Below are 23317 nucleotides of genomic sequence, written 5' to 3'. Positions count from 1 at the left end.
AATTATTTCAATATAATTAAGTTACAAAGGAAAAGAAAAATAAAAAATAATAGCATGTTCCTAAATAGTGAATAATTATGTAAAATATTAATATATTTTTTAAAATATGAAAAACTTAAGTAGCTATTTCTAAAATACTTGAGAAAAGTTAAATTTATTTACAACAGAAAGGCTAAAATTAACCCTTTCTTGTTTTCAAATATATTTTTTCTGTGTATTTAAAAACCGTGTAATATAAAAAATTTAAGAAATAATAAGTAAATACTTTGGTGGACTATATATAAATAAATATGCATATAAATATTTTTGTCCCATTGCAGTATTTTCTTTTCTTTAATCATCCACTCTGCAAGGATTGCTAGTGTAGTATTAAAAATTATACAGTATTAAAATATCTGTCCATTATACAGCATTAAATATCTGTGTAATAGACACAGATATTTAAATACTAGGTTTTATTACAAAGTATTGTAGGTTTTATTGCAAAGATGTTATGTCTAATGTATCTATTTTAAGCATGATGCTTGCTGTAGGTTTTTGACTGATAAATTTTATTAAAACAAGGAAAAACATCTCTGTGCCTATGTTAATAATACACAGCATGAATAGAACATAGTCTGTCATGCCATATAATATGCATGTAATGTGCATGTATATATTCAAACCATTCAAACATATGTGCATGTATGTATACATCATATTAATTAATGTTTCATGATATATATGACACATTTTCATACACACTGTATATACTTATATTTACTCATACACACTGTATATACATATATATACCTATATATTCACTTATATAGGTATATATATAAGTAAAATCTAATTGTATATAATAATTCTATGTGTTAGCATATTGTATACAGTTTCCTAATACTATATAGTGCTTTACAGTTTTAAATTGTCCTAAACAAAAAGAACAGTATATTTTTCTTTTCATAAACTCTCTTTGCCCAGTTGTGATATCTCAATTATACTAGACTTATAAAATGATGTGGGTATGTTTTATTTCCCCAATATCTGATAAAGTTTATGTAAGATTAGAATGATAATTTCCTTGGATGTACTATAGAACCCATCTGTATAAACCAGATAGATGTGTTTTCTACATAGAATTTTTAAAATATAGGTTTAATTTTCTTCATTGTTTAGGAGAAAGATTTGCTAAGTGTGTGTAAGTCAGAATTTCAAAAATTTAATAAAATGGCCAGGTGCAGTGGCTCACGCCTGTAAGCCCAGCACTTTGGGAGGCCAAGGCAGGCAGATCACCTGAGGTCAGGCGTTCAAGACCAGCCTGACCGATATGGTGAAAGTCCGTCCCTACTAAAAATACAAAAAAATTAACCAGACATGGTGGCAGGCGCCTGTAGTCCCAGCCACTCTGGAGGCTGAGACAGAAGAATTGCTTGAATCCAGGAGGCGGAGGTTGCAGTGAGCCGAGATCGCGCCACTGCACTCCTGTCTAGGCAACAGAGCGAGACTTTGTATCAAAACAAATAAACAAAAAATCAATAAGACATATTTTCATTTTGAAATTATATGGGAAAATTGATTCTGCTTCAATGAAATAGAAAGTGGTATCCAGTGAAAATTAAGAAGCAATACAAATAAGGAAGCAGATACTCTTATTCTTAGGTATATGCTCTATCTCTGTGTGGATAAAGAATGGTGGATACAGAATTTTTATGCTGTGCACATGACATCACTGTTAGCTGAAAAGAGATGTCTGCTGGAGAAGAAACAACAAACCAAACCAAACTAAACTAAGCAATGCTGGAGAATTATTTAATAAACATATATTTTATTAATAATATGGTACCTGGTGTCAAAATTATGTTATTTAAATATATCTCTATGATTTTGTAGGGTCAAAAAAAGGTGGTTTTTCACATGTTCTCACTTATATGTAGGAACTAAATGATAAGAACACATAGACACATAGAGAGAAACAACACATGTTGGAGAGTGGGAAGACAAAGAGGATCAGGAAAAATAACTAATGGGTACTAGACTTAATACCTGGATGATGAAATAATCTGTATAACAAACACCCATGACACAAGTTTACCTATATAACAAACCTGCGCATGTACCCAGAACTTAAAAGTTAAAAAAGGAGGTTTTCAATAATACAATTTGCTTACAGAAATAATTTTCAAACCAATGTATTTCCATTGTTCAAAGCAGAATCCAAATTTTGTTTTGCTTTGTTTTTTACATTACCCAAATATGACTTATGTATCTTTGTTTTAATTCTATATTCAGTTTTCTTTTGCAAGTTTCTACAGCAGACACTTACAAGAGCACATCAAATGTTTTAATGCAATTATTAATTCAATAACTTTATTCTTGTCCCAAATTGTATCATAATAGTACACCACTTTAAGATAAACCCTAATTCTTTAGGTTAAATGAGTAATCAGAATATTTTAGTTCTATTTTATTTTTGTCTCTCGAACAAGCTAGACATCATTATTATTATCTTATAAAGTTAATGTTTATTTAAATTTACCAACATGTTTCTCAACTTCTTCATTCAGTATTTCCCTGCTCATCTTGGGCTTTTCTTCTGCGATAATTTTCTTCTTTCCAGAGTCTGTTCTTTGGAAATTATTTTAAGAGAGACTCATTGATGGGAAATTCTGTTTTTTAATTTATCTAAAAATGTCTTTATTCAACTGATTTTTAAATTATTTCTAGATACAGATTTTGAGATTGAATATCATTTATTTTCCTCAATTTGAATGTAGAAACCCAATAGTTTTGAGTTTCTCTTGTGTCTATTGAGAAATTATCCTTCAAGCTAATTGTCTTCTTTCTCTTGTGGAATTTGTGTTTACATGTATCTTTCCAGCTGCTTTCAATAATTTTTAGCCATATGTGTGTATATGCATATGTGTGTGTGTGTATGTGTGTGTGTGTGTTCTGTATTCTGTTACAGTTATGCCAGCACTAAGAAACCTTCTTTTGATTATCACTAAGAATTTATAAGCATCATTATGTTGAATATTGTCTTTTGCCACTTTATTTTTTTCTCCTTCTGAAACCTCTAGTAAGAAATGAATAAATGTCTCTTTTTTTCATATTTTTCCAAACTTCTCTGAAAGAACTTAACCTGCATCTGGAAAGAATAATGCCATCCAGAATAAGCAAGGCATATACACCAAAGACAAGATGAAAAGCAACTTGAATGTTTAAAAGTTACATTATTGAAGGACATTCCCAATAACACAACCAGTGTTTTTTGGGACCTAACAAATGAAATCTACAAACTATTCAAGGGCAAATCACTGGTGAGACTAGATTTAGTTGCCTAAAATCTTAAATGCAAAAAATAGATAAAAGTACAAAACAAAAAATATGAAAGTGTGAGGAAAGATCAGAGATTGGAAGTAACATCCAGAGGACTTAGCACATATACAATAATAAATATGAAGGAAGATAATAGAATAGACGAGATTATACAAAAGCAAAGAAATGTTCCCTGAGTTATAAAAAGCCCCGAAACTGCAGCCTGAATTGCCTCACCTACGCCAGGAAAAATTATGAGAAAAGACATGTATCTCAGTATCGTCTGTAAAATCCCTTAAGTCTTGTGAAAATTAAAAGTTTTGCATGCCTCTTGAAAGAAAGATGAATGATTTTCATAGGTAAAGCATCTGCTGCTTTGGACTCATCTGCAAAATGAGATATTGAAAACTATGGAGTAGATGCTATAGCATGCGAAAAAAGAGCCTTGTGACCATGGACACAAAGCAAGGTAGACATAGGTATTTGGGGACGTGCAAGAATTTTAAAAATGCTGTCATCCACAAAAAGATCTAAAGAAATACTTTAAAAATTAATCTTTTTTAAAAAGAACAAGAATGTAACATTAATACAGAAATAACTGAAGAGGAAGTAGTGGAATCAGTAAACCCACCAAAAAATGCATGAAATAGTGAAAACATCTTTGAATTCCACAAGGAAACACCAACAAAACCGTATGTTGTCAGAGGTCAGAAGCATAACTGAAAGCATTCTAAAGGCCTACAGAGAGGCATAAATAGGAAGATGAGGGAAAGAATGGTAAAAACATTATAAAAGGATCATTGTATTAATCCAATTTTTGTTGCTTATAATAGAATATCTGAAATGGTAATTTCTGTAGAAAATAAATGTATTTTTACAGTTTTGAGGCTCAAAGTCCAAGGTTGAGGGGCTAACCCTGCTGAGAACCTTTTTGCTAGTGGAGACTCAAGGGGTTCTGAGCAGGTGCAGGGCATCACATGGCAAGGGGGCCGAATGTGCTAACATGCTAGCTCAGGGCTCTCTTCCCCATCCTTTAAAGCTACCAGTTCTCCTCTTATGATAAGTTTTTAATTCATTAACTCACTAATCCATTAAGCCACAAATGGAATAATCCATTCAGAGCTTTCATGATCACCTCTTAAAGGCCCCACCTCTCAACACTGCCACATTGGGAATTAAGTTTCAATATGAATTTTAGAGGCGACATCCAAACCATAGCAGTCATCCTGTTGGGGTTTAGTAATTAAAAGGGAAACCGTGTGTTACCATCAGAAAAAAAAAGTTTGGGTTAACTTCAAAATTGTAGTAGAAAAATAATTTCTGTTTCTGAGTTTTGAGCACTAAGAAAAAAACGTAACTTCCATTTTTTCTGAAAGGTAATGTGTCATATTTATCAAATTTAAATATACTTGATGCAGCAATTCCATCTTCAGATATTTATTTTTATGATAAAATTCCACAGATAAATGTTTATCAGATGTTCATCAAAGAAGTTTTTAAACCACTATAAATGCTTAGTGATAAGAGATTGATGAAATAAATTATAGTGTATTGCAAATGTAGTTTCTATAAAGTATGATGCTAAAAATAATTTGCTGACTTTAAAAAGCCTCTCTGATGATAACACAGCTTATGACATAGTACTACGTCCTTCCTACAAATATCTATGTATGCATTAAAAAATGACCAGAGAAATAGATGAGTAAATAGTTTCAGAGATCTTTCGTTTAATCTATTTCTGGTCAGTTTCCCTTATGTTTCTATATCATATCATAATAGATCATAATAGATCATAATAGATCATAATGTTCATCCATAGTTTGAAAGTTTAAAACAATTTTAACTTAGAAATCAATGGGAAGAATATTATGATATAAAAAGAATTATATGATGCATAATTACACAAATATTATTCATAACTTGTTATCAATTAGTCAACAGTAAAACAGTATTTCATTAACTCACATTGAAAATTGAGAAAGTATTAATCCAGAAAGAAGCTGAGTATACTTTTTTATTATAATAAACTTTCCAAATTTGTAGCAAATGAGTAGAAAATGTATTCAAATTACAAATGAAAGAGGGGGATTATTATTAACTTAGTATGTGCTAAAATTCACCAGCGCAGCCATCTGGGCCTGGGCTTTTGTTTGTGGTCATTGTTTTCAATTATCTTATTATTTACTAATTCTAAATTTTCTCCAGTAAATATGTATTACTAACAACATATTTTAAAATTGTTAATTTATACATTTAACAAATTTATTAAACTAATATTTAATAAAAATATTAAAGAGTCACAAGTAATAAAGCTAAAATTCAATTGACAAATTAGGAAAAGCTCACTCCAGTAATCTTAACATTTTGGGAGGCCAAGGCAGGACAATTTCTTGAGGCCAGGAGTTTGAGACCAGCCTGGGCAACGTAGCAAAACCCTGTCTCTACAGAAAATTTAAACAATTAGCCAGGCATGGTGGTACACACTTGTAGTTCCAGCTACCAGGGAAGCTGAGGTGGGAGAATCACCTGAGCCCAGGAGTTCAAGGCTGCAGTAAGCCATGATCACACCACTGCACTCCAGCCTGGGCAAAAGAGCAAGATCCCATCTCTAAAAAACAGGAAGAAAAAGAAATGTGAGGTATTTTGCAAATAAATTGACAGTTTGGACTAACATTTTCTTTTTCAGTTTACTTGTACTTTACTCTTTCTTTTTGTTCCAGTTCATCTGAGGTCCTCAAATTGATTCAAATTCAATTAGAGAAATTTTTTTATTGAGAGCCTACTATTTGTTAGTCTATCAAATGATGACTAGAATAAAGCGATGAATAAAGACTGCTGACTTAAACATGATTCAAGTTCATTTAACCATATTTTCATGAGGTAAATTTTCCTCCAACTTTAAATAAAAAAAAATTTCCCATCGTATAAATTTTTCAGCATTACACCACCACCATCACCACCATAACAACAAAACCTGTCTAGGTACATTAGGTATTTTAATATTAAATAGCAATTTGCTTTAGGTATTTTAATATGAAATAGCAATTTGCTTTGTACTTAAATGGAAGATGAATCTCCAATTCTGTAAATGTAAAAAAGAATAAGATCATAGGAAATGTAGACATCTGCATTTACTTAGAGATGGAATCAAAATTAGGTCCTTCTGAGAGCCTCTAAGGCTGAACTGTACTGAAACAGCTCATGGCAATTTACCATTTTAGTATTCACCCTATGATGTATAAATACATCACAAGCATGGCAAGAGGAATCTCTAGAATCTAAAATAATGTATTTTGCTTTTGATGATATGCTTTTGCTGTTCACATTGTCCATTTAAGTCATATAATTTGGTAAATTTTTAGATGTCTTTTTTTTTTCTTTTTTTTTATTATACTTTAAGTTTTAGGGTACATGTGCACATTGTGCAGGTTAGTTACATATGTATACATGTGACATGCTGGTGCACTGAACCCACTAACTCGTCATCTAGCATTAGGTATATCTCCCAATGCTATCCCTCCCCCCTCCCCCCACCCCGCCACAGTCCCCAGAGTGTGATATTCCCCTTCCTGTGTCCATGTGATCTCATTGTTCAGTTCCACCTATGAGTGAGAATATGCGGTGTTTGGTTTTTTGTTCTTGTGATAGTTTACTGAGAATGATGTTTTCCAGTTTCATCCATGTCCCTACAGAGGACATGAACTCATCATTTTTTATGGCTGCATAGTATTCCATGGTGTATATGTGCCACATTTTCTTAATCCAGTCTATTGTTGTTGGACATTTGGGTTGGTTCCAAGTCTTTGCTATTGTGAATAATACCACAATAAACATATGTGTGCATGTGTCTTTATAGCAGCATGATTTATAGTCCTTTGGGTATATACACAGTAATGGGATGGCTGGGTCAAATGGTATTTGCAGTTCTAGATCCCTGAGGAATCGCCACACTGACTTCCACAAGGGTTGAACTAGTTTACAGTCCCACCAACAGTGTAGAAGTGTTCCTATTTCTCCACATCCTCTCCAGCACCTGTTGTTTCCTGACTTTTTAATGATTGCCATTCTAACTGGTGTGAGATGGTATCTCATTGTGGTTTTGATTTGCATTTCTCTGATGGCCAGTGATGATGAGCGTTTTTTCATGTGTCTTTTGGCTGTATAAATATCTTCTTTTGAGAAGTGTCTGTGCATGTCCTTTGCCCACTTTTTGATGGGGTTGTTTGTTTTTTTCTTGTAAATTTGTTTGAGTTCATTGTAGATTCTGGATATTAGCCCTTTGTCACATAAGTAGGTTGCGAAAATTTTCTCCCATTTGCAGGTTGCCTGTTCACTCTGACGGTAGTTTCTTTTGCTGTGCAGAAGCTCTTTAGTTGAATTAGATCCCATTTGTCAATTTTGTCTTTTGTTGCCATTGCTTTTGGTGTTTTAGACATGAAGTCCTTGCCCATGCCTATGTCCTGAATGGTAATGCCTAGGTTTTCTTCTAGGGTTTTTATGGTTTTAGGTCTAACATTTAAGTCTTTAATCCATCTTGAATTGATTTTTGTATAAGGTGTAAGGAAGGGATCCAGTTTCAGCTTTCTACATATGGCTAGCCAGTTTTCCCAGCACCATTTATTAAATAGGGAATCCTTTCCCCATTGCTTGTTTTTGTCAGGTTTGTCAAAGATCAGATAGTTGTAGATATGCGGCATTATTTCTGAGGGCTCTGTTCTGTTCCATTGATCTATATCTCTGTTTTGGTACCAGTACCATGCTGTTTTGGTTACTGTAGCCTTGTAGTATAGTTCGACGTCAGGTAGTGTGATGCCTCCAGGTTTGTTCTTTTGGCTTAGGATTGACTTGGCAATGCGGGCTCTTTTTTGGTTCCATATGAACTTTAAAGTAGTTTTTTCCAGTTCTGTGAAGAAAGGCATTGGTAGCTTGATGGGGATGGCATTGAATCTGTAAATTACCTTGGGCAGTATGGCCATTTTCATGATATTGATTCTTCCTACCCATGAGCATGGAATGTTCTTCCATTTGTTTGTATCCTCTTTTATTTCCTTGAGCAGTGGTTTGTAGTTCTCCTTGAAGAGGTCCTTCACATCCCTTGTAAGTTGGATTCCTAGGTATTTTATTCTCTTTGTAGCAATTGTGAATGGGAGTTCACTCATGATTTGGCTCTCTGCTTGTCTGTTGTTGGTGTATAAGAATGCTTGTGATTTTTGCACATTGATTTTGTATCCTGAGTTTGCTGAAGTTGCTAATCAGCTTAAGGAGATTTTGGGCTGAGACAATGTGGTTTTCTAGATATACAATCATGTCGTCTGCAAACAGGGACAATTTGACTTCCTCTTTTCCTAATTGAATACCCTTTATTTCCTTCTCCTGCCTCATTGCCCTGGCCAGAACTTCCAACACTATGTTGAATAGGAGTGGTGAGAGAGGGCATCCCTGTCTTGTGCCAGTTTTCAAAAGGAATGCTTCCGGTTTTTGCCCATTCAGTATGATATTGGCTGTGGGTTTGTCATAGATAGCTCTTATTATTTTGAGATCCGTCCCATCAATACCTAATTTATTGAGAGTTTTTAGCATGAAGGGTTGTTGAATTTTGTCAAAGGCTTTTTCTGCATCTATTGTGATAATCATGTGGTTTTTGTCTTTGGCTCTGTTTATATGCTGGATTACATTTATTGATTTGCGTCTATTGAACCAGCCTTGCATCCCAGGGATGAAGCCCACTTGATCATCGTGGATAAGCTTTTTGATGTGCTGCTGGATTCGGTTTGCCAGTATTTTATTGAGGATTTTTGCATCAATGTTCATCAAGGATATTGGTCTAAAATTCTCTTTTTTTGTTGTGTCTCTGCCTGGCTTTGGTATCAGAATGATGCTGGCCTCATAAAATGAGTTAGGGAGGATTCCCTCTTTTTCTATTGATTGGAATAGTTTCAGAAGGAATGGTACCAGTTCCTCCTTGTACCTCTGGTAGAATTCAGCTGTGAATCCGTCTGGTCCTGGACTCTTTTTGGTTGGTAAGCTATTGATTATTGCCACAATTTCAGCTCCTGTTATTGGTCTATTCAGAGATTCAACTTCTTCCTGGTTTAGTCTTGGGAGAGTGTATGTGTCGAGGAATTTATCCATTTCTTCTAGATTTTCTAGTTTATTTGCATAGAGGTGTTTGTAGTATTCTCTGATGGTAGTTTGTATTTCTGTGGGATCGGTGGTGATATCCCCTTTATCATTTTTTATTGCATCTATTTGATTCTTCTCTCTTTTTTTCCTTATTAGTCTTGCTAGCGGTCTATCAATTTTGTTGATCCTTTCAAAAAATCAGCTCCTGGATTCATTGATTTTTTGAAAGGTTTTTTGTGTCTCTATTTCCTTCAGTTCTGCTCTGATTTTAGTTTTTCTTGCCTTCTGCTAGCTTTTGAATGTGTTTGCTCTTGCTTTTCTAGTTCTTTTAATTGTGATGTTAGGGTGTCAATTTTGGATCTTTCCTGCTTTCTCTTGTGGGCATTTAGTGCTATAAATTTCCCTCCACACACGGCTTTGAATGTGTCCCAGAGATTCTGGTATGTTGTGTGTTTGTTCTCATTGGTTTCAAAGAACATCTTTATTTGTGCCTTCATTTCGTTATGTAGCCAGTAGTCATTCAGGAGCAGGTTGTTCAGTTTCCATGTAGTTGAGCGGTTTTGAGTGAGATTCTTACTCCTGAGTTCTAGTTTGATTGCACTGTGATCTGAGAGATAGTTTGTTATAATTTCTGTTCTTTCACATTTGCTGAGGAGAGCTTTACTTCCAAGTATGTGGTCAATGTTGGAATAGGTGTGGTGTGGTGCTGAAAAAAATGTATATTCTGTTGATTTTGGGTGGAGAGTTCTGTAGATGTCTATTAGGTCTGCTTGGTGCAGAGCTGAGTTCAATTCCTGGGTATCCTTGTCGACTTTCTGTCTCGTTGATCTGTCTAATGTTGACAGTGGGGTGTTAAAGTCTCCCATTATTAATGTGTGGGAGTCTAAGTCTCTTTGTAGGTCACTCAGGACTTGCTTTATGAATCTGGGTGCTCCTGTATTGGGTGCATATATATTTAGGATAGTTAGCTCTTCTTGTTGAATTGATCCCTTTACCATTATGTAATGGCCTTCTTTGTCTCTTTTGATCTTTGTTGGTTTAAAGTCTGTTTTATCAGAGACTAGGATTGCAACCCCTGCCTTTTTTTGTTTTCCATTTGCTTGGTAGATCTTCCTCCATCCTTTTATTTTGAGCCTATGTGTGTCTCTGCACGTGAGATGGGTTTCCTGAATACAGCACACTGATGGGTCTTGACTCTTTATCCAATTTGCCAGTCTGTGTCTTTTAATTGGAGCATTTACTCCATTTACATTTAAAGTTAATATTGTTATGTGTGAATTTGATCCTGTCATTATGATGTTAGCTGGTTATTTTGCTCATTAGTTGATGCAGTTTCTTCCTAGTCTTGATGGTCTTTACATTTTGGCATGACTTTGCAGCGGCTGGTACCGGTTGTTCCTTTCCATGTTTAGCGCTTCCTTCAGGAGCTCTTTTAGGTTTTAGGGCAGGCCTGGTGGTGACAAAATCTCTCGGCATTTGCTTGTCTGTAAAGTATTTTATTTCTCCTTCACTTATGAAGCTTAGTTTGGCTAGATATGAAATTCTGGGTTGAAAATTCTTTTCTTTAAGAATGGTGAATATTGGCCCCCACTCTATTCTGGCTTGTAGGGTTTCTGCCGAGAGATCAGCTGTTAGTCTGATGGGCTTCCCTTTGAGGGTAACCTGACCTTTCTCTCTGGCTGCCCTTAACATTTTTTCCTTCATTTCAACTTTGGTGAATCTGACAATTATGTGTCTTGGAGTTGCTCTTCTCGAGGAGTATCTTTGTGGTGTTCTCTGTATTTCCTGAATCTGAATGTTGGCCTGCCTTGCTAGATTGGGGAAGTTCTCCTGGATAATATCCTGCAGAGTGTTTTCCAACTTGGTTCCATTCTCCCCATCACTTTCAGGTACACCAATCAGACGTAGATTTGGTCTTTTCACATAGTCCCATATTTCTTGGAGGCTTTGCTCATTTCTTTTTATTTGCTTTTCCTCTAAACTTCCCTTCTCGCTTCATTTCATTCATTTCATCTTCCATTGCTGATACCCTTTCTTCCAGTTGATCACATCGGCCCCTGAGGCTTCTGCATTCTTCACGTAGTTCTCGAGCCTTGGTTTTCAGCTCCATTAGCTCCTTTAAGCACTTCTCTGTATTGGTTATTCTAGTTATACATTCTTCTAAATTTTTTTCAAAGTTTTCAACTTCTTCGCCTTTGGTTTGAATGTCCTCCTGTAGCTCAGAGTAATTTGATCATCTGAAGCCTTCTTCTCTCAGCTTGTCAAAGTCATTCTCCATCCAGCTTTGTTCCGTTGCTGGTGAGGAACTGCGTTCCTTTGGAGGAGGAGAGCTGCTCTGCTTTTTAGAGTTTCCAGTTTTTCTTTTCTGTTTTTTCCCCATCTTTGTGGTTTTATCTACTTTGGTCTTTGATGATGGTGATGTACAGATGTGTTTTTGGTGTGGATGTCCTTTCTGTTTGTTAGTTTTCCTTCTAACAGACAGGACCCTCAGCTGCAGGTCTGTTGGAGTACCCTGCCGTGTGAGGTGTCAGTGTGCCCCTATTGGGGGGTGTCTCCCAGTTAGGCTGCTCAGGGGTCAGGGACCCACTTGAGGAGGCAGTCTGCCCGTTCTCAGATCTCCAGCTGCGTGCTGGGAGAACCACTGCTGTCTTCAAAGCTGTCAGACAGGGACATTTAAGTCTGCAGAGGTTACTGCTGTCTTTTTGTTTGTCTGTGCCCTGCCCCCAGAGGTGGAGCCTACAGAGGCAGGCAGGCCTCCTTGAGCTGTGGTGGGCTCCGCCCAGTTCGAGCTTCCCAGCTGCTTTGTTTACCTAATCAAGCCCGTACAATGTCGGGCGCCCCTCCCCCAGCCTCGCTGCCGCCTTGCAGTTTGATCTCAGACTGCTGTGCTAGCAATCAGCGAGACTCCGTGGGCGTAGGACCCTCCAAGCCAGGTGCAGGATATAATCCCATGGTGCGCCATTTTTTAAGCCCGTCGGAAAAGCGCAGTATTCGGGTGGGAGTGACCCGATTTTACAGGTGCTGTCTGTCACCCCTTTCTTTGACTCGGAAAGGGAACTCCCTGACCCCTTGCGCTTCCCAAGTGAGGCAATGCCTTGCCCTGCTTCGGCTCGCGCACGGTGCGCGCACTCACTGACCTGCGCCCACTGTCTGGCACTCCCTAGTGAGATGAACCTGGTACCTCAGATGGAAATGCAGAAATCACGGTCTTCTGCGTCGCTCACGCTGGGAGCTGTAGACGGGAGCTGTTCCTATTCCAGATGTCTTTTTTTTACTTCAAAATTATGTTTATTGGTGAGTGAGTTTGACTTTTGTGATAAAGCTCCTTGTTAAAATATTTTTAATATTAAATGATCGCTTCAGTCATAATTTCATGGTTAGAGCATTCACTGAAAGACGTTTAAACTTATTTACTTTCCCTTCAATCTCACATATTCATAGTTAAAAATTTTAGGTTCTATGTAGTAGGCTCCTGTAGTGACCTTTTGAGAGACTTTTGAAAAAAAAAATTTCATGTGGTCTTTAAATTTTATTTGAAGAAATCATTTATATTGTAAAGGCATATAAAATATAAGAAATTATTAAATACTTAAAAATGGAAAAATCACACATGCACAGAGTGTCAGGTTATTCTTACTTTCTAGAATGGCTTCCTCAATGTAAAATTTTTGGTTTTGATTTGAAGCTAAAAAAACAAATTCTAAAATTCTCCAACCCTGTGAAACATTCACAAATTAACACAATGTCAATTTTTTGAATCGTGTTAGAGAAAATCCAATAATCTACAAATTTAATCTTCATAGATTTAACAAATATGGAATTGGTTTGCTAGTGCTTTTGAGTCATAGGCTGACTTCTATCATATAAATATTTCACTTAAAATGATAAAAACATCAGGATGCAGAATCTACTTTGTTTTAGATGTTTTGAAAATCATCATTCAAATCATAAAGCTATTTTTAAATTATAGGCTCATATTTATCTACTTTTATAAAGAAGTTTTTAATATAAATATACCTTAGATTTAACTGTATGATTATGCCTTTCAATTCATTCGACTGTTATTTAAACTACATACTTTGGGCAATTACAACCCTCAGGAATTCTACTTTCTGTCAAGATGGAATAATATGGGTAAATTTATTCTGAAATGATGGAAAACAGATGAAATGATAAAGCAGTGGCCTATAAGACACTGGAAATCAGGCCACAAGGAACAGTGATTTCTGAGAGATGGCAAACAAATAAGGTGAGCCTATGATAAACGCAGCTTGAGAACGTTTCTAGGCTGAGGATTGAGGTGCCCAGGAGGATACTGGTGGACCCCTGAAACTGAAGAGATAGATCTGAGAGTCCAAGAGACTTAGGTGGCAAAAATTCACGGGATGGAGGACTGGATAAAATAGTGCTGTACAGAGAGAGGATTCCAGAGATCTGCAGAGGTTCCCCTTTGAGTATTTAGCTGACTACTGATGAGTGCAATTATGTGAGAAAATTAGCCAAGGATGGAGAAAGAACCTACCTGAAAAGATGAGAGGTAACAGTGCCCCGTACTCACACAGGTCCAAGAATAGTGCCTCTCCCCACCATAAAGTGAGAAACTTCATGATTCACAGGAAATTGTGTAGAGTGCAGACTGGTTGTACCTTAGTAGTGGGAAATGAGGGGAATAATCAGACTCAAATTGAATACTTGCTCAGGTCCTGACAGATTTTAAAAGTAAAACCCAGAAGGATGAAACTGTTTTCAAGTAACTGTACTGCATATCAGAAAAAAATCCCCAAAATAGGAATACAATACCATCTCCAGGAATACAAGTATTTATCAACCAGAGAACTGTACTACATGAAATGTTAAAGGAAGTCCTTTAAACAGAAGGAAAATGACACTAGATAAAAATATTGATTTACACAAAGAAATAAAGAGTGCTGGAAGTGGTGGCTACCTAAGTAAATATACAAGATTTTTTTCTTACGATTTAAATATCTTAAAGTTAAGTGATCCTTTAAACAAAATTAATGACAATGCAATAGGGAGTTTATATCCATAAAAATAAAATATACGACTACAATGGCACAAAGAACAGGAGAACAAAATGAGAGTATATTATTGTGAGGTTCTTACACTGTATGTGAAGTGATGTAATATCACTTGAAGGTAGAATCTAAAAAGTGACAGGTGTTTAGTATAAACCACAAAACATGCACTGAAATAACAAAAAAAGAATTACAGCTAACACGGGAGATGAAATGGAATCCCAGAAAGAAATTTATTTGAAATAAGGCAGATGAAGAGGATAGGTGAACAAAGTAAGATGGGGAAACTGCAGAACAAATAGGAAGATGATTAACTTAAACCTAAGGATATCAATCATCACATTAAATGTAAGTAATCTGACTACCTTAAATAAAAACAGAATATGAGATTGCATTTGTTAAAAAAAGCAAAATCCCACTTTATGCTGCCTAAAACACACATTAAGTATACAGAAACAACGCTAACACAAATTTTAAAAACTCTGTAATGACTATATTAATATCAAAGTAAATTTCATAGCAAAGAATATTACTGAAGACAAAAAAGTTTATTTCATAATACTAAAGGTTCAATTCAAGAGGACATACCAATCCTAAATATTTATGTACCAAATAAGTGAGATTCAAAATACAAGAGCTTACAGAACTCAAAGATAAATAGATAAATCCACATTTATAGTTGGAAGTTTGAATACTTTCCTCTTGATAAATGATGTAAAAAGTAAATAAAAAACAGTAAGAAAATAAATGATCTGAACAACACTCAACAAATGTGACCTAATTGCCATTTATAGGATACCACACTCAACAAAAAGGGTAGTATATATTCTTTTGAAGATCACATGGAACATTTACAGAGAAGATCATATTCTGGACTGTTGATAATTTCTAAGTATATTTAGAATAAATCACATTATATGAATAATGTTCCCTGGCAACAAAGGAATAAAATTGGAAATCAAAAACAGAAAGATTGCAGGAAAATCTGCAACTATTTGGAAACTAACACACCCATAAATGAAAGATGAAATAAAAGTGGAAATTAGAAATTCTTGTGAACTGAAAGAAAAAAAGCCACAACATACCGAAATTTGTGAATTGCCAACAGAACAGTAGTAATGTGGAATTCATGCCACTGAAAACCACTATTAGAAAAGAACAAAGGTTTCAAATCAGCATCTACCTTAAGAAATTTAAAAAAGAACAAATGTAACCAAAGTAAACAGGAAAAGGAAAAAAAGGTCAGAGAGAAAATCAGGGATATACAAAATAAACAACAATAAAAAAATAGAGACAAACTATTATATAGCACAAGTTGGTTTTTTGAAGAGCAATGCGCCTGTAGTCCCAGCTGCTCGGGAGGCTGAGGCAGGAGAATGGCGTGAACCCGGGAGGTGGAGCTTGCAGTGAAACGAGATTGTGCCACTGCACTCCAGCCTGGGCGTTGGAGCCAGACTCCGTCTCAAAAAAAAAAAAAAAAAAAAAAAAATTGACATTAAAAATACTATTTAAAATAGCATTAAAATGTGAAATAGAGATAAATCTGACAAAAGATATGGAAGACCTGTACAGTGACAACTATAAAACATTTGATGAGATTAAATAATGTCTAACTAAATAGAGGAAGGTATTATGTTCATGGGTAAGAAGATCCAATATTAAGTTGTTCCTTCTCCAAAGTTTTCTGTAAGTTCAATGTAATCCAAATAAAAATTTTAGCAGATACATTTTTTTAATTGATGAATTCTAAAATCCATATAGAAATACAGTGGACCTAGAATAACAAAAACAACTTTGAAAACATAGAACAAAGTTGGAGAGCTCACACTGTGTGATGTCAATAGTTATTATAAAGTCACGGTAAACAAGGCAGTGTGGTAGCATGTCGAGTTCTGTAAAATAGATCAGTAGAACAGAATGAACATTCCAGAAACAGACTCACACATATATGGGCAAATGATATTTGAAAAAGATACTTCTGTTGTTCACTCTTGTTAAATAAAAAGAAGGAAGGAATTTTGGACTCTTTTTTTTTTTTTTTTTTTTTTTTTTTTGAGACGGAGTCTCGCTCTGTCGCCCAGGCTGGAGTGCAGTGGCGGGACCTCGGCTCACTGCAAGCTCCGCCTCCCGGGTTCACGCCATTCTCCTGCCTCAGCCTCCCAAGTAGCTGGGACTACAGGCGCCCGCCACTACGCCCGGCTAATTTTTTGTATTTTTAGTAGAGACGGGGTTTCACCGTTTTAGCCGGGATGGTCTCGATCTCCTGACCTCGTGATCCGCCCGCCTCGGCCTCCCAAAGTGCTGGGATTACAGGCGTGAGCCACCGCGCCCGGCCAGGAATTTTGGACTCTTATTTGAATCAGATCTGCTGTGACTTTTCAAATTTGTTCCTTCTAACCTCATTGTACTCCATAGTGAGGGTGTATCATACGCATTAATACCTTTTTTTACTGTTTTTTAATAACCTTTATTATTTTACTGATTATGAAAATAATACATGTTCTTCACCGAAAATATGAATAATGCAGAAAATTAAGAATATAAGGCTCATCTATAATCCTGCCACATAAAGATAACCACTGTAATTTTATTATTATTATTATTATTACACTTTAAGTTCTAGGGTACATGTGCACAACATGCAGATTTGTTATGTAGGTATGCATGTGCCATGTTGGTATGCTGCACCCATTAACTCATCGTTTACATTAGGTATTTCTCCTAACGCTATCCCTCCCCCATCCCCCTGCCCCCCAACAGGCCCCGGTGTGTGATGTCCCTCCAATCCGTGTCTATGTGTTCTCATCATTCAACTCCCACTTATGAGTGAGAACATGGGGTGTTTGGTTTTCTGTCCTTGTGGTATTTTGCTGAGAATGATGGTTTCAGTTTCATCCATGTCCCTACAAAGGATATGACCTCATCCTGTTTTATGTCTGCATAGTATTTCATGGTGTATATGTGCCACATTTTCTTTATCCAGTCTATTTTTGATGGATATTTGGGTTGGTTCCAAGTCTTTGCTATTGTGAATAGTACCACGATAAATGTTAAATTGAATATAATTGTGAAAATTGGGGAAAAAATTGTACAGATTTTAACACAATAACATCCTTGAAAACTAAATCCACAAAAGAATCTGTTAGAACCAGAGAAACCTTCATCATTGTCACTTGAAATGACATTCCTGCCTACCTTTTAAAAGGGAATTATTAGCCTGATCATTATGGTAAAACAAGCAAACATAAACGTGTTTGTTTTCCTTTAGAGTTTTACACACAGTTTATCTTCGCTGAATTTTTGAAACACGCAAACTTGAAATTAAACAGTGTGCATTATTTTTGTTTCTGGTTTCTTTTGCTCAGAATTATGTTTGTGAGGTTCAGTCATGTTTTTTAGGCCTAGTTTGTTAATTTTTCAGTATTGATAAGTTATGTTTTTCTAGCATATTGCTATTCCATTTACATTTTCAATTTTATTGGCACAAGTATTTTCATAATATGCATTTTTAGTTCTTTAGTATCTGCTACAACTAGGTGGATATTCTAATTCCTTTCTTGAATTATTTGTTTACTTTCTTTTTTGTGATCATTCTTATTATTTATTTTATTAATTTTTGGATCTCTTGGAACTGACTCTAGTTTTCTTAATCCTCTGTGTTGTGCCTTTGTTTTTGTTTTGTTTTTTTTTTCCCAAGCTTTTGGAGGATTTCCTTAGCTATTCTTTTTTATGTCAGGAAGATATGGAATACATACACTGAAATTTCTTTAATTTTGTTTCCAATTTAATTTTAAATCATGAAGAATGCTTATAGTTTAAACTTTTGAGAATCCTTAATCATCAAACAAACATCAGTGACAGAATTTTGCTTTTCCTAGGATGACACTGATGCTTTACTAGCCAAGTGCTAGGCAAGGGCAGTAGTGCTGGTCTTTTTGGCTTGCTTCTCCTGGTGCGGAGCAACATCCCTATGGGGGAGTTGGGGTGAGGGAGACGAATGCCCCGCTATTCTTAGGTAGAGGGAGGGAGCTCACAATCTCCAGACTACACTCATTTGGAACGTGGAGCTTGAGGGGATAAGAAATGCCAGTGTCTTGCCCTTTCCTGGGAGATTCCACAGCCTTTGCCTGGGAACTGGGGGGTGAAGGGAGCGTAATATTCTTAGCCATACCCATTCAGAGTGGGGCTTTGATCACACTGACCTGAGAGTAGGAGGCAAAAATGGGTATGGCTCAAGTGCCACAGACTCTCACTCCTCTTTCTAAGATTTAGTAGATTTCCTTGAACAAATGTTTCTTCATTTGATATATGCCCTTAGTGTTGCAGGACTTTCTCCTTAGTTCAGCTAAAACTGGGTTCTTGTCACATGACTGGGAAAGACTAGACTCACGGACACATAGAAGGTTGAGGAGCATAATTTTTGGACGAAAAGGGAAAAAAAAAAAAACGCAGCAAAGTGAGATGGAGTCCTCCTAGTAGGCCCTCCACCTCACAGATTGAATCCCAGGTCACCACACAGGAATTGAAGAGGCCAGGTCTCTCAAACTCTATCATTAGATCGCCTGTCTTTACAATTAGAAATTGAAGAGGCCAGGTCTCCTGTCTCTATCTCCTATCTCCTGTCTAAATTAGGACAAAATTTCCAAAGACTTTTATATGTGTATATTGTATATAGATATAAACCTATAACAAAATTTATATATGTATACTAATTTTTCCAGTTATGATTGCTTCACTAGGGAGCATATCCACAGAGAGCCTCATGCTGTCATTCTGCAAGTTGTCTTTCATATTTTTTCTTTCTGTTCATTTATGCATTTATATTGTTGCCTATCTGCTTCCCCCCAAATAAGTATATCCTTTAAAATAGAGGTCATCAAATTACTTCCTATACATGAAATCTGTCCCACTGCCTGAGTTTGTAAATATTTATTGTAGTACAGTCATCACCATGTGCTTATATATAGTCTATGCCTGCCTTTGTTAGGTTTGTATCACTACATCAGAGATAAGCAGTTGTAACAAAAGCCACATGTCCACAAAGCCAAAATATTTGCCATCCTGCCGTTTACAGAAAAACATTTGCCAACTCTGCTTTAGAGTATTCGAGTATTCATATTTCCCATCCTTCTCTTGATTTTTTTCAACTTCTGGTTTTAGATGATATATTTTTCAACTTTCAGTTCTATACATATATTTGACATTTCTTTACAGCATTACATTTAATAATACACATGTTTTATAATAATTTTCTAATATTAATTCTTGTTACCCTCATCATATTGCCTGCTTTTTTTATTTAAAAAAAAGGATTTTTTATTTGTTGGTTAGAACATTTTTTTCAAGAACTTTCCTTATGTTAATTGTATGGATGCTACCTCTTTAAATTCTTCCATAACTACAAATTCTTTCTTTTTCCCTGACAGGTGAAACTATTGTAACTGGAAAGAAGATTTTTGGGTCTCTGTACCTTACTTTGAATAGTTTATATGTTGCTCTTCACTTTTAGTCTTCTTCTAAAGGATAAGTCTATTGTTAAATTTTCTTTCTCTATTAAGATATTTATCCTCTACTAATAAGATCATTTTCTTTAATCTCGGAATTCAAGAATTTCACTATTGACAATTATTAATATTAATATTGAATTTTAATTTTGTTATTCAATATTGATATTGAATTTCATTTTTCTTTTAGTCTTTCCCAGGCCTTACAGAAGCCCTCCAGTCTGAAGACTCAATTACTTATTTATATAATGAATATTTTTCTCTACTAATTGAGTCAATCTGTCTCTCTAATTTTCTGTTTTATGGAAAGCCTATGTGCTCCATGTTACAGTTCATGTAAATTTACATCAAGTTGCTATCTTTTGCTCATTTTTTCACATCTTTTCAGTTTTGTTATGAATATTAAAGTATTTCTTCCACAAGAAATTCCAGAAGACTAATTGGTTCTTAGTAGTTACCAACAAACTTCTACTTTGTGTATTAAATTTTTAAATTCAATAGACCAGGCTTAATGGCTCATGCCTGTAATCCCAGCACTTTGAGAGCACAAGGTGAACAGATCTCTCAAGTCCAAGAGTTCAACACCACCCTGGGCAACATGGAAAAAACCTAATCTTTACCAAATAAAAAAATACATGTTTTTTGACATATATATTATATATATTATATAGTATATATAAAATATATATAATATATATATACTATATAATATAATATATTATATATATAAATATATATATATAAATATATTATATAAATATATAATATAAATATATAATAAAAAATAAATATATATATTAATATTTATATTATATATATTAGTATATAATATAAATATATAATATTTATATATGATATATCATATATAAATATATCATATGTTATATATTATATAGATATAATCAAAATTCTTGATTCAGGTTCTTGAAAATATTTTATCTGTTAATTTAATCTTCTTAAAAACCTCTTTATGATTCTTTCTATTTAAATTTCCCATGTAGATTGCCAAGTTCTACTTCAATGGGAACTCCTGTTCTTTACATTCACCTTCATCTTTTTCTTGGTGACCTGCATTCACCTAAGTTCAGCAGTACTCAACATTGGCTGCACATTGGAATCAACTGTGGTGTTTTTGAAATTACGCTTTATCGGTTTCCAAAAGGGCTTGTAGAGCATGGAATTGTCCCGGTGAGATGCCCTTCAATGAGCTGTCAAGGTTGAGTTCTACTACTCGACTTGGTTGTTGGTTTCGCTTCATTATGGTTTGGTATACTCTCTACCCTTGTCTCTCTTACCTGTTAACTGAACAAAAATTATGACATTGGAAGCTAGAGCATAAACATTGGATCAAAAGTTAGAAGACTCATGCTGAGATATTGCATAGCCATAAATTGAAAAAAACTAAGCTCCCCAAATCATAATTGCCCTTAGATCATAAACCTGAAAAATTGACTTTTTAAAAAATTAAAATATAACTCATATAATACACAGTAAATTTTGGTTTCATTTTACAGATCCTTTACCAGTATCTTAAATAAAATAAATACTTACAGGGGCTAAACTCTATCCCAAGCAGGATGGTGGTAGTGGGGACAAGTGAAAGAGGGTGGGAAAAATGTCCTCAGATGCCCTCCATATTTTCTTGGGCAAGTGCTAGTTCTCCTCTACTTACATGTCTTTTTTTCTGTGTAAATCACAATTGGGCATGATGCCTACACTACCTCATTCATAAATCTGAATATTTTTAGATTAAGAATAAGAGGGTTTAAAATAATTTGCTAATATCAACTTCTCTCTAAGTGTTTGAGTCCATGTAGCCCAAATAACCTCTGTCTCTAATATACTCTACAATTCTAGTTGGCTTATCCAAAGAGAATTTCACTGTTAATATGAATCTTGAGGTAAATCATTTTCCTCTTCTATGCTACTCTGAACTTTGTCTCATTGAACTAAAATAAAGCCACTAATTTTGACAATTATCCATATACTTTTTTCTGTAATTGTGCAGTTTGTGACCGCATATCTTTTCTTGATAATACAAGTTACATGACACTGGGGTCAGCACCTTATTCTTCTTCATAATCTCTTTGAACCCTGGCATTAGGTTAGACAAATGACATATATTATATTAATATGACATTTTTATCATTAAACTAGTTATATGCATATACTGTAAGAAGATGAAAACATCATAGAAGCATAAAACTCAGAAAATCTACTGTATTCCCATTCTTCAAAGGAATAATTTATAAACAGTTAAACATATTAATTTATAGTTAGTTTTCTATTGGTACGCTGTCTTCTATTGAATATATCATTTACTTTTTAGGAATGAGGTCATTCTATAAATACTCTTCAGCAGTTTACTGTCTGTCACCAATAAAAAATCTTAAGCATTTTTGATGTTAGTATACATTTTTGTAATTAATTTATTATAAGAGCTAAATAATTTCATTGCTATTTGTGATTTAATAGAAATATCCTTATACTATGAGGCTTAAGTGAAATTTACAATTCTATATACAAGCAGGGTGTTTAACATTATACATTTAATATAAAGATAGACAAATATTGGGGAAAGTGTATTGTCATATTTTAGGGTTAAAACTGAGCTAAGTATGAAAATTTTTCCTTCTGATCACCTGTTTTCTTCATCCTTCTCTTTAGAATCTTTCTCCTCCCTTCTTTGTGGTTCCTGAACTGATAAAAATGAGCTGCATTTGCTTACTTTATTGGAATACAGTCCTCCCATAACAAGACTAAGTGAAAGAGAACATGTTTTCCAGGGGAAGAAAGCATGGACTACGGCGTAAGTCTAGCTTCAGTCTAGGCGTAAGAGTAGAAATCATTTTCTATTTGTTCCTGATTAGCTTAGCTCTCTAGAGCATTAAAACAGAGATTTCAGGAGTAAATAAGGCTGAAGATCAACAGCTCAGGCATATATGATACTCTGCTATAGCCCTAAAAACTTAATTAGAAATTAATTATTGGAGGTTGACCTCATATATTTACATCTTCTCAATTTAATAATAAAAGAGTTTATATTCCCAAGGACAAAGAGAACTGGAGGAAAGGCCACAGTGGATCTGATATTTCAACAAAATTTGAAGACTAAAAGGGAAGTAGAAGAGTGGTAAACTGATTTAGGAAGCTAAGTTATTATCTGAGTGACTGCAGTGTGGAATGCCAATGAGCTAAAAGCCAATTGTGTCAGAGAGCCTTCTATAGTTTTACGGGAAGAAATTGAGTATGGCAAAAGGCTGGGATTGGAAAGAAAGACTCGTCAAAAATCTGAGTACAGTGCAGTTAGAATCTCCAGATACTATATATCATTGGGAGTCAACCAGCAATACC

The 23317-nt window shown here is 34.9% G+C and overlaps 1 long non-coding RNA gene across 1 annotated transcript in view, besides 1 other annotated feature; it reads left to right on the top strand.

Moving 5' to 3' along the window:
• LOC101927967 (uncharacterized) overlaps positions 1-22757 on the top strand; it is a 547036-nt gene extending 524279 nt beyond the window's left edge. Inside the window, exon 4 of the long non-coding RNA NR_110288.1 lies at positions 22631-22757. This is a non-coding gene — a long non-coding RNA (uncharacterized LOC101927967). The remainder of the gene's footprint in view (positions 1-22630) is intronic.
• Positions 11847-12383: an enhancer, noted in NCBI's record as "NANOG-H3K27ac hESC enhancer chr2:77981196-77981732 (GRCh37/hg19 assembly coordinates)". NCBI's record gives its function as "activates a minimal SCP1, AML or CMV promoter by ChIP-STARR-seq in naive H9 embryonic stem cells {active_cell/tissue: H9 hESC(naive)}" and the evidence as "EXISTENCE:reporter gene assay evidence [ECO:0000049][PMID:30033119]".
• Positions 22758-23317: the final 560 nt, after the last annotated feature.

Source organism: Homo sapiens, chromosome 2, assembly GCF_000001405.40.
Source record: "Homo sapiens chromosome 2, GRCh38.p14 Primary Assembly".
Taxonomy (NCBI): Eukaryota; Metazoa; Chordata; class Mammalia; order Primates; family Hominidae; genus Homo; species Homo sapiens.
Note: the sequence above shows the minus strand (reverse complement) of the source record. Positions and strands in the feature narration are given on the sequence as shown.